Source organism: Homo sapiens, chromosome 3 (genome assembly GCF_000001405.40).
Source record: "Homo sapiens chromosome 3, GRCh38.p14 Primary Assembly".
In the NCBI taxonomy this organism is placed as follows: Eukaryota; Metazoa; Chordata; class Mammalia; order Primates; family Hominidae; genus Homo; species Homo sapiens.
In genome coordinates this window covers 105,331,814-105,344,905 of record NC_000003.12, presented here as the reverse complement: position 1 = coordinate 105,344,905, position 13,092 = coordinate 105,331,814, and positions in this window count along the sequence as shown.

Here is a 13,092-nt window from a genome sequence, read left to right as displayed (position 1 = left end):
TATTTCCATACAGGCAATAAATAAATACTTTGCTTGGCTTAGAGTCTTTGTTACAAAGTCATAGAGCCTAGGCAATAATATGGTTCTCAACACAGCAGCATGTGGAAGTCCTGTGAAGCATTATATAACTTTGCTGGTTTCTTCTCTGGGGATATAAATTTCGTGTTTATTTTAACAGTTAATGGTTTCATTACTGAAAGAAGAATCAAAGTAGAATTATATTAGTTATTTATTGCTGTGTAACAAATTACCCCAATACTTAGTGTGCTTAAAACAAAAGTAAACATTTGCTATCTCTCTGTTTGGGGGCCGTAATTTGAGGGTGGCTCAGCTGCACTGTTCTGACCCAGGGTTTCTCATGAGACTGAGTCAACATGTTGGCCGGGACTACCCTCAGATGGAGGTTGGACCTCGAAGATTTGCTTCCAAGATGGCTCACTTATATGCCTGGCAAGTTGGTGGTGTTTGTTGGCAGAGGCCTCAGTTCTTCCCTGTGTTGGCCTCTTTTGTGCTGCTTGATTTTCCTTGTGACACGGCTGCTGGTTTTGTTCAGAGTGAGCAAACCCAGAGAGGAGAGATGGTAGAATCAATGATTTTTATAACTTTGCCTCAGAAGTCACATTCTGTTACTTCTTCAATATTCTATTGCCAAACACATCAGTCTTATCACTCATTGTGGGAGGGAACTATGTAAGGACATGAATACCAAGAAAAGATTACATCCCAGTGCGGTGGCTCATGCCTGTAATTCCAGCACTTCAGGACGCCAAGACAGGAGGATTGCTTACATCCAGGAGTTCCAGAATAGCCTGGGAAACATAGCAAGACCTTTCCTCTACAAATAACATGTGCCGGTAATCCCAACTACTAGGGAAGCTGAGGTGGGACTATGTATGCGTGTAGTCCCAGCTACCCAGGAGGTCTAGGCTGCAGTAAACTGTGAATCATGTCACTATACTCCAGCCTGGGCAACAGAGTGAGACTCCATCTCAAAAGAAGAAAGAAATATATATATAATTTTGAGAATCATCTTGGAGGCCAGCTACCACAAATATGAAAAACTTCAATGTAAATATCATGCACTCAAGGGATGAACAATGGTAATATTTTGTCTTCAGTTCTCCATCTTCCTTATAGATTTCATTAATATTGTATCTACCAACATGACCTCATTTAATTCCCACCACAAAGAACTGTAAGCAAGATTATTGATCTCATTTTCACATGAACAAATGGAGGCTTAGAGTGATAGGTAACTTATACATACTAGATTACACAACTAATAAATGATTGAATTAGGAGTCCAATTCACTGCCACTCATGGATTTCTATTTAACACAATGCAATAAAAGACAAATAAGTTGGCGGACTGCCACTGTTTAAGTAATAAAGTATAAATAGAAAATGAGGTGGAGTTAGAGGGTTTATGCTCATGTCTTAGATACTACTCAGATCTTGCTTGAATTTCTCTCAAAATTAACAACTCTAGCTGTTAACACCTGAGCTAGACTAGTTTCCAATGTCTAAGCAGTAGCTTTGTTTGCTACAAACTTGATTTTGCCCAATTCTTAGAGTCTTAGATACCAAGACACTCAATTTAAGTTAATGAACAATTGATAGATGCATCAAAATTCTAGGTAATTCACTTACATATGAAATATAACTATCAGGCCAATTAGGTATTTACTTTGATCTAACTAGCACATTCTGCCTCTGCAGGAAATTATTTAGTCAATTCTGTCAGTTGGTATAATCTAGATGATGCTACTGTGACAATCCCCAAATTTCCTGAAAAAGATTGATTTCTTGCTTATATATGTTTAACCTTTATCATCAGGGTAGCCTTCTCATTGTAGTATATCAGGGAAATATGCTGATGCCGACCCTATGTCACACGCTGTCTGTGACAGGTCCAGGATTTGTGGGGTCTTAAGGCTTATACTGTTTCAGATGCACTTTTTAAGATATATAACGGCAGGTCGCGGTGGCTCATGCCTGTAATCCCAGCACTGTGGGAGGCTGAGGCGGGCGGATCACGAGGTCAGGAGATCGAGACCATCCTGGCTAACACGGTGAAACCCTGTCTCTACTACAAAATACAAAAAATTAGCCGGGCGTGGTGGCGGGCGCCTGTAGTCCCTACTGAGGCAGGAGAATGGCATGAACCCGGGAGGCGGTGCTTGCAGTGAGTCGAGATCGCGCCACTGCCCTCCAGCCTGCGCGACAGAGCGAGACTCCGTCTCAAAAAAAAAAAAAAAAAAAAAAGATACATAACACAAAATTACAAGTTTTAATAGCTTCACAATAAATCATCCTCATGCTTCAACGATTGCCATGTCAAGGAAGAGGAATATGGTGAATCACATACTCACTGTTGTAGCTTCAATCTAGAGGTGACACAGTCCAAAGTCAAAGTGGATTGGGAAGCACAGTTCTACCATGTGTCCCCAAGGAAGAGAGCTGAGAATATTTGGTAAACAGCACTAACGATTACCACAGTAATCAAGAAGCAGAGGCTGGAGAAATACAAGATTTAAACGCATAGTAGCACCATCTTTTATACTTCGATGTGTCTACTCATACAAAATGTCATTAGCTACCGCCCCCCAACAGACTACAATCATAAGTTAGCTTTCTGATGTCTCCCTTCTAAGGATTGCACAAAGATGGGTATAGGCAATGCTTGTTTCAGGAATTTTAATTTCTGTTTTTTTTTCAGTGATCAATTATTTGTCAGATTAATGCAGTCTTTCATAAACATGATATTACCTTTATCAAGGTATATGCTGGTTTAAAAAAAAATCTTTTCATGTGGCTTTGCTTATAACCACTGTTTTTATATATTGCTTTTCTAGTCTGTTGCAAAATTGTCTTACTTTCAAATTCGTGGAAATGTACTACCTAAAATACCTTCTAGCATTATTATAATGATGCCCAGAACCCAGTTTAGTAAGTATGATTTCTCTGAGTAATGGTTGCTATTATGAGGGTCTGAAATAATCATTTTGAATTAGGTTTTAGTATAAAGAGAAAGATGTTTATTTAAAGTTGAGTTTTGGTTTTTGATTGGATATACTGGCACAGTAGAGTACAGAGAGAATATTCACAATTGACTACTGTTTGTGAAACACAAAATAATTATATTTTATAGTGCATTAATAATACCTATAACATTATTTGAAAGACAAATCTTTATTTTTACTTGCAATTAATTTGGAAGTATGTTAAAAATTAGATATGTGCTTTTGTACATGAACATATTCATGTCCATCTCTCAAAGCAATTCTAATAGACCATTTGTTTTTCTGTACTCAGCTCCTAACCATCTACCTTAACAAAAAAGGAGTTGTGGTTTGGATAATATTCAAAAGAATGACAATAGAAATCTTAAAATGTATTTAATTCCTAGTAATGTAATAAGAAATGATGATTTATATTAATGCTACTTACCTATGACATTTCATAGCATTTTATAAAAGACAATTTACTTTCTCTATTGTTTGAGTTATACTGAACTTTCAATTTCCACTACAGTAAAAGGGAGACTTGGCATAAATTACATTAAAAAAAATGGTAATGTTTAAAATGTATTGAGTGTGCTTCATGCTAGACACCATGCTACTTTATGTGTTTAATATCAGTGAAACTGCCTAATGACTCTATGAGGTAGATCTAATTTTCTCCATTTTATTGATGAAGAAGGTGAGACTTGAGAGGTTAAGGAATTTGGGATTGCACAGCTAATAAATGATATAGCAAGCCAACCTCATTCAGAACTTCAATATATTATTTCATTAATTACATTTCCCTTGTACTCTTCAAATCCTGAATAAATGCGTGGCCAGTAAGAGAGAGGTAATTAAGAGCCCTGAACAATGAGAAAATGGTTCTGTCTAGATAATGTGCAAATGGAGTTGATTTTATGTTTAAAGAAAGAAAGAAACACAGAACAAAAAACTAAATATATAAATAAAGAGTGCTCAAATATGGTTAATAGTAAACTAGTCAGAACTTAATTTTCATTGGAATTAAAATCCTATTTGAATTTGTTCCTAACTTTCTAAGCTATGATTATAGGAGCCAGCTAATATAACATGGGAGTAAATGTAGCATCTGTGCTTTTGAGATACTGCCTGTAATTACTGGTAGGGATAGGGATATTAGAAAAAAAAACCTGTAAGATTTATTGCTCTTTCTTTATGAATGGAGAAGTAAGTACAGATTACTTAGAGTTTGCTTAAAATATCAATGAATTAATATTATTGCAGATTTTTTTTCCTGTGTTCCTCATACTAATATAATGAAAAGTATTTAGAAGGAGGAGGGAAAGAAGAGGAGAAAGATAAATTCAAAACCACAAGATATATTTCATAAAAGTAATTTCTCTCCCAACCAACCCTAGCTTTTTATTTATTTAAGTGCCTGCTAGTTGGTTTCCATAATTTCAGATATTTTGTAGTAGAATATATGCAAACTGTACATTATTCAAATATTTATTTTACAGGAATGTGCTTAATGCTATTAGCAATTCATCTGCATGTATTCCCAGTGTGTTTGAGATTCAAGTATGAACACATATAAAAATAGTATCAGATGACTATTAATTAATTGTTTAAAGGACCATTTCCCCCTTCAGACAATAATTATTTGACAGATTGTATGGATTCCCAGTTTGCAGTTACAATGTCTTTTCCACTGTGCTCATGCAACCCATAGCTCATGTGTCATCTTCCTTCACTTCCTTCATAGTCTATAGTTGTGTCTGACTCTTAACTCTTGAAGCATGAATATTTGTAATATTCATTTGTGTCTCATTTGTTTTTTATTTAAATTTCCTAAACAGAGTGCCACCCTTCAGATCAGAGGAAGTTAATTGATATATTGAATGTATACTTTAAAAAAGTACTTCCTGTTGAGGCTTGCAGTTAATGTTTGTTGAATGAAGTAACAAAAACGTAGAAATCATTTAGCCAACATAAAGTCACTTCAGAACTTGTGTTGATGTTATGCACTTTAGGCCAGTAGAAAAGAATAGAAACATATATTAATTTATTAAGGATATTTTTAACTAGAAAAATTATAGGTTAAAAAAATAGTAAGAGTTCTTTGGCACTTTGCCTCTTACAAAGCAAACAAAAAGGTGTGTGGTAGAAATAACCAGAAAAATTATTATTGTAAGAAGACAGCACAGAATTGCAGCATTGGTAATTTTTGCTCAATGTTCCATAAAATACAAATGCAGATTCTTTTAATAAAAAAGTAAAAGTGGAAAAACACAAATGTCAAACAAATTATTTATGTCAAGCTTGAGAGTTGATAGCTATATGACTCCCTGCACATTATTAAATTAAGTCACTGGTTCGTTTTTGAAAATCCATTTTCTAGTTGGTTCAACAGATGTTTACTAGTCAGTTTTAAATGGAAATGCATATTAAAATAGTTCAAATTATTAACATGCAATACAATTTGTCCAAAGATGGAAAACACTGGATAGAATGGCAATCTCAGTATGTTTCACTGAAAACAGGATTTTAAAATAGTATAAGCCACTCTTATATATAAGACTGGGGAAGGAAGTTGGGATGGAAGACTTAATTTTTTGCCAGACACTTTATAAGTGTTTTTGCATATAGTTACTCATGGTGTCTTTCACTGGTTAAAGTTAGTCTCATGAGATGTTACCTCTCTCTGCACTTTTAGATTTTTCCCTGGCATCTACAGGGAAGGGTTGCACTTCATCTAATCCCTGAAGTAGTGAGAAAAACCATCATTTCCAGCTTGATATTTTGTTCATTATGAATTTTTGCATTAACATTGATGTTTGGATATATACTTTGGATTTTAAAAAATATTGCTTTAAAATATTCTTTTTACTAATTACTGAGTGTATTACAATCTGTTAAATTATGTACCTAAAGCAGCACCTCACTTGCCTCACTGAAATCTCAACCCGCCAATGCAAGCTTATATTCCCACGTGTCTGGTTACTCAACACAGCATGAATTGAAAGTGAACAATTTGCATATCATCTGGTTTAGGACCTCAAAGTCACCAGGCTCCAGAGAAAGTCAGAATCATTCATTTTTTAAATTTCTTCACTTATTCAAAAATAAATTCATTAATTCAACAAATACATATTAAGGTGCTGTGTGCCAGTAAATGCTTCAGTGGATGGCTGCAAAAATTATAAACTAAACATATCAAAATACATAATTTCTGTTGTGATGTCCTACAATAACTGTTTCCTGGAAATTTGTATTGGTATATAAATAAGCTGTTTGCCTTCAAATATATATATATATAATATATATATATGCATATAGTCACTCATGGTGCCTTTCACTGATATATATATATATATGTATGTGTATATATATATATGTATGTATATATATGTATGTATATATAGTATGTGTATATATATATATATAGAAAGAGAGAGAGCGTGATGCATCAGTTCCCTTTTAAAAATGACAAGTATGTCATATATGTATTATATGACATACTTGTCATTTTTAAAAGGGAACTGATGCATCATGCTCAATTACATACTTTCACATGAAAATTACCAACTTGTAGAAGAATATTGAGAACAGTCTATGTAGTTCCCTACTTTTAAACCATAGCTCAACCATCTTTCCATTAAAAACAGTAAAACAGTTTGGTTGACAGTAACCCCATATTAAAGTATAGACTCTATTGCGGAATCTTATGTACTACTCTTCTAAATTTTTCTTTATACACGCTAGGACTTCTATTAAAATTTATGTTTCTTTCAGTTTTTGTCTTAGTCCATTCCTGCTCCTATAACCAAATACCTTAGACTGGCTAATTTATAAAAAGTGTAGGTTTATTGCTCACAGCTATGGAGATGGGAAAGTTCAATATTAAGACACTGTCAGGTTCCATGTCTAGTGAGGGCCAAGTCACTGCTTCCAAGATAGTGCCCTGAACATTGTATCTTCATTTGATGGGAGCATTGAAAAGAGATGAACACTATGTGCAGCTTCTTTCACAATGGTCTTCATCTCATTCAGTAGGGTAAAGCCCTCATGACCTAACTACCTCCTAAAGGCCCCACCTCTTAATACTATTTCATTGGGCATTATATCTCAACATGTTAATTTTGGAGGGAGACACATTCAGACTACAGCAGTTTGGATATTTCTTTTATTCCTTACTTATTAAAAAAATGTACTTGTTACATGAGAGAGAAATTGAATTCTTTGTGAGCTTAGGTGTACCACACATACAGGGAATGTATATTTTTAATGCACTATTAATTATATTTCAAAGAGAAATAATGATACAGTCCAGAGAATGGTAATGGTTCCTTGAGTTTCCCTGTAGATCAACTTACCAGGTTGAAACACTGTATAAAACTAACTTCTAAGTGTACTAAGTACTAAGTATACTACTGTAATTCTTTCTAAGGAAAAAAATAATTTGAAACAGAAGTTGATTCATTACCGCAACGCGTAATTATTTAAAACTAAGCTCTAATTTTTTTCTGAGTTGATATTGAGGACACGATATACTAGATAATGAACAGATGCAGACTTGAATGAGTGACTGAGAACATATGTTAAAAAGAAACTCAGAAAGATAAACTAGATATTATTGGGAATTTTAAGTGGATTGGAAAAAAAACTTTAAAAAAATCACTGGATTTTTATCACAAAGTAGATAGAAACAAGATAACGTGATACAATAAAAAGAAATACCTGTAACAGCAAGCTGTTTCCCCTTATGCTCATTGACCCCTCTGAGTCATATGTTTTTGAAGACCAGTAAACAAACTTGCAAAATTGTGGTAGTTGATTATGTAGCAGAATCCAGAAATAAAGAAACATTTTTTTCTATATATTTTATTTTCAAGGCAATAAAATGAAAGTTGAGGCACTGGAAGGAATGATAGTAAAATAATCGATCTTAAATTGGCCTACCACTTTGGTCTTATGAAGCATAACTATATTAAGGCATTAAAATAAGAAACTAAGTATAAATCCCCCAAATGTGACAAAGTTAAAAAATAGATAAGGCAATAAAAGTAGCAGTAATGGTATTTGCTCTGTTATAGACAGAATGACTCAATGAAATTTAGGATAAGAATGTGCAAGAGATGTTGCTGATAATGTGAATCTTCTGGGTGTGTTTCATGTTTCCTAATTTTCTTTTGATGAGTTATTTTGTGTTATAAACTGCTATTTATGTAAGAAGACAATGCATGGATATTACCAACATATTTTCTCATGTGATTAAGATTCTTTGTACATTGTTGATAGTCAGCCCCGATTAATCAAAATGAATTAGTAGAGTTAAATCTACTCACATATCATCCCTGTTTCTACGTTCGTATTCACAAGAATTGGCACAAAACAAACCTTTAAATAATTTCCAATTCATTTGCTTTTTAAAATATAGGATTCTAGTCCAATTATTGGATAGGTAAAGCTTCATTATTTTTTTCTACAGAAATATATTCAGTTTTTACAGACTTAGACATTTATTAAAAATAGTACTACTTGCTGAAAATTTATGTTTCTATAGAATTTCTCATTTTCAATACATCTATGTCTAGTATAATATAAAACAAGAGCAATAAAACATATGCAATAAAACATGTCATATATATAATACAATGTAATAAATAATGAATATATTACTTTATTAGCAGGAAATTATATTAATTGCAAACATTAAGGGAAATACTCAGAATATATTTCATTGTGACTATTATATGTTTGTCATCATTTTTAGTGATTTAAAGTTTTTAGAAAATAATATTATTAATTGTAATGATTTCTATGATCTCCATTTTAAGAATAATTTAGGGAGAATATTTTTTCTTTTATTGCTATGATTTATTTCAAATGTCCTCATACTATAATTTACAGTAAAACACTTTAAAGATAGCATATTATACCATTAATGAAGTTGTGCCCTTGTTGTACACACAATTAGTACATACACACAATTCACCCGGAAGCTTAGTGATAACTTGTATATGAAATGCCATCCTTGCTTTTTAGCATCAGTCTAATAATTGCAGGGATACTTAAAAAACTTTTAGACAGCAGAAAAATTTCACAATTATTTTCATTTCAATTCCAATTACCATGGCCTCAAAAAACTCCTTTTAAAAGACCAATTTTTGAGAAACCATTAACACTAAATCATTAAGCAATTTATAGAAAAAGAAATTAATGGTTATCCTAAGGGAGTAATCTTAGAAGCAGCTTTGTACTTACTCAGGTGTAGGATCCTGACAAATACTATCTTGGACAGTATTTTGGAAACTTGTTGTAGTTTCTATACTTAAAAACTGGAATAAATCAAGCACTGAAGATAAGAGATCACTACATTCTGCTTGGACTGGGCTTGGAAGTGAAAGCCTGGATCATGCAGCTCACAGAAGCAATAGATATTGGATTTGGCATGACCGGTGAAGCTAAAGGACATACTACCTCTGAAAAGACAAATTAACTTAAGTATTACAGAAGAAAGAAGAAGTATATCAAATCACCGATTTCATGTGTGTAGTCTTGGTAGACCAGAAGATGACTTTTGAAATAAAGACTCTCAGAGATTGTTAAAATACCCACCCCTACTTTGTTAAAGATTTTTTTTTCAGACTATAGGACAGAATTTCCCCTTTTTCATGGTAAGAAGACTGACATGGTTCTCACAGTTCATTCAAATAAGAAGAAAAAGTCTCATCCTTTCTCTCACACACAGTATCCTTATCTGTCTCCCCAAAAAATTCATCTGGCCCAGTGAGTTCATAGTCTTAACGCTGGACCAGTCACTGTGTCAGGGTGAAGAAGTACTCTACTTGGTATCCCTGGGGCCAGGGAAACCAATGCTTAATTAATCCTGTACCACAGAAATAGAGAAAAGTTACCTCCCCAAAGGAGGGAATAAGGAAAAAAAATGGAAAATTAGAAGATGTATTTTCCAGAGATGAACAAAATCTCTGAAAGCAACTAAAATTTGAAAACTGAGCCATTGATGGAATAATTTTCTCCTTCATGAAGACAGTCGAATTTGTTTCAAATATTATTCCCTACCAAATTTTGCCATATTGAACAATGATACAGCTTTTTCATCCCTAAAAGAGAAAATGTAATCATCTGCCTCTACATTCCTAGAGGCTGCATCATTTAGTGGGGGTAAAATAGCTCAGAGAAAGATGTTTGGAAGGCAGTCATGGCTGATTAGTAACCTGTGGTTGCTAAACTAGAGTAAACCAACTTCAGTTAAGGTGTTCTCCACTTTCCACAGCCCTGTGAAAGCTGTGTTTGGTATCAGGAACTTGAGTACAGATTTTAAGGACTGATGCAGGAAAGAAAACAATAGAGTCTTTGAAAGAACAGTGGTATGTGAATTATCCATGCATAAGGAATAGTCTGAGTGTTGTGCCAAATTTAAATTCTAAGCTTTCATGGAAGATTTTCTAGAAAGCTCTATGAAGATCACTTCTCTCAGAAACATACTCCTTATTACCTGTTCCTATCTTAACTTTCTTAAATCTGACTTCAGTCTTTGCCAGTGTACTGAAACTGTGTTGTGGTTTCCTTCTTGCCAAATCACAAAACATTTCCTCTGTATTCATATGGAAACTGCTTCTTTAACTTCAATATCACTGATCTTTTCTTGCTCTATTTCTACAGCTTTGTTAGAACAAATCCAGTGGCCCTTTCACAGTCCCTTACCATTGATTCCTTGTTTTCTAGCCAGGGGTATTAACAAAGACCCAAGTTGTAGACATCTTTCTTCTTTTTGTCCATTTTTGAAAAAGCCCCTCCTTCCCTCACTCCCTTCTTTCCTCTGTACCTCCCTCCCTCCCTTCCTTTCCCCTTTTATTTCCCTTTGCCTTTCCCCTTCCTTTCCCTTCCCTCCTTTCTTTTTTATTTTTTCTTTCCTAGCTCCCTCTGTTCCAATCTCCCTGTGAACCTAAAGTTTGCTGTTAGCTTAGTTTTTAGTGGTAATCTTTCTTTAAACAAATGTCCTTGATGGATAACTGTAGCTCATACATGTTTAAGTAGTACTCCAAATTCATACTAACCCTACATTTTTATCCTATTGGCCAGTTCCACTTGATGTCTTATAGCATTGCATCAGAATAAGCTAGATTAAAACTAACATTATCAACATAATTGTCACTATGATACTCTTCATTTTTGTCATTGTCATCTGCCTACAATCAGATTCTCAGCTCTTGAAAATTCTTCTATTCTGTTTCAATATACATCCTATTTATTTATATTCATAGTTGACACTTAATAATTGTGCATGTTTATGGGGTACAATGTGATGTTTTGATACATGTATAAATTGTGTAATGATCAGTTCAGGACAATTAGCATAATCCATCACCTTAGACATCATTTCTTTGTGATAAGAGCATTAAAAAACCTCTCTTCTAGCTATTTTAAAACACACAATGCATCATTATTATCTCCAGTCATCCTCCTATGCAATAGACCACAAGAATTTATTCTTCCTAATTGCAGCTTTAAATCTGTTGATCAATCTCTCACCACCTACCCTCTCCATCCTCTACTCTACTACTACTCAACTTTCTGCTTTCATAAGAGCTATTTTTCAGATTGAATGAGATCATGCAGTATTTGTCTTTCTGTGTCTGCACTATTTCACTTAACATAATATCCTCAAGTTTCATCCATGTTGCAGCAAATTACAGGATTTCACTCTTTTTAATGGCTGAATAATATTCCCTTGTATAGATATACCACATTTTCTTTATCAATTTGTCTGTTGATGGACATTTGGGTTGATTCCATATTGTGGCTATTGTGAATAGTACGGAAATAAACATAGGAGAGCAGGTATTTCTTTGACATACTGGTTCATTTCCTTTTATTAAATATCCTGTAATGAATTAACTGGATCATGTGGTAGCTCTAATTTTAGTTTTCTGAGAAACTTTCATACTGTTTTCTATCATGGTTGTACTAATTTACATTCCCTGAAGCAGTGTAAAAGAGTTTCCTTTTTTTCCAAATCCTCAACAACATTTATCTTCTGATTTCTTTGATAGTAGCCATTCTCACTCAAGGGAGGTGATACCTCACTGTAATTTTGATTTGCATTTCTGTGATGATTAGAGATGCTGAACATTCTTGCACATATTTATTGGACATTTGCATGTCCTCTTTTGAGAAATGTATCTTCAGGTCTCTTACCTATTGAAAAAGCAGGTTACTTGTGCTTTTGTTGAGTTGTTTGAGCCCTTTATATACTTTGGATACTAGCCCCTTATCAGATTTATAATTTACACATATATTCTCCCATTACATAGGTTATCTCTTTGCTCTGTTGATTTTCTCCTTTGCTGTGCAGAAGCTTGTTGGCTTGATGTAATCCCATTTAACTATATTTGATTATATTGCCCATGTGTTTAAGGTTTTATCCAAAAAAATCCTTGCCTAAACCAAGCTCTTTCTCTATATTTTCTTCTGGTAGTTTCATAGTTTTGGGTCTTACATTTAAGTTTTTAATCCATCTTGAGTTAATTTTTGTATGTATTAAGGAATAAGGGTCTAGTTTTATTCTTCTGTATGTGGATATATAGTTTTCTCAGTACCATTTATTGAGAAGGGTGTCCTTTGTTCAGTGTATGTTCTTGGCACGTTTGTCAAAAACAAGTTGGCTGCAGATGCATGGGTTAATTTCTGGGGTTTATGTTCTGTTTCATTTGACTATGTATCTGTTTTGTTTTTGTTTTTGTTTTTATGCTACTACTGTCCTGTTTTTGTTGCTATGTCTTGTAGCATATTTTAAAACCATGTACAGACATCTTCAGAACATTCTTTCCAAAGCTCTAGAATACACACATTCTTCTCAATGGCCCATGGGACATTCTTCATGATAGATTACATGGTAGGTCACAAAACAAGTCTCAGAAAATTTTTTAAAATTAAAATCATATCAAGTGTTCTTCAACCACAATGCAATAAAACAAGAAATTATGACAAGAATTTAAGAAACCTTTCAAATACATTGAAATTAAACAACATTCTTCTGAAGAACTGATGGATCAGTGAATAAATTAAGGAGGAAAATTTT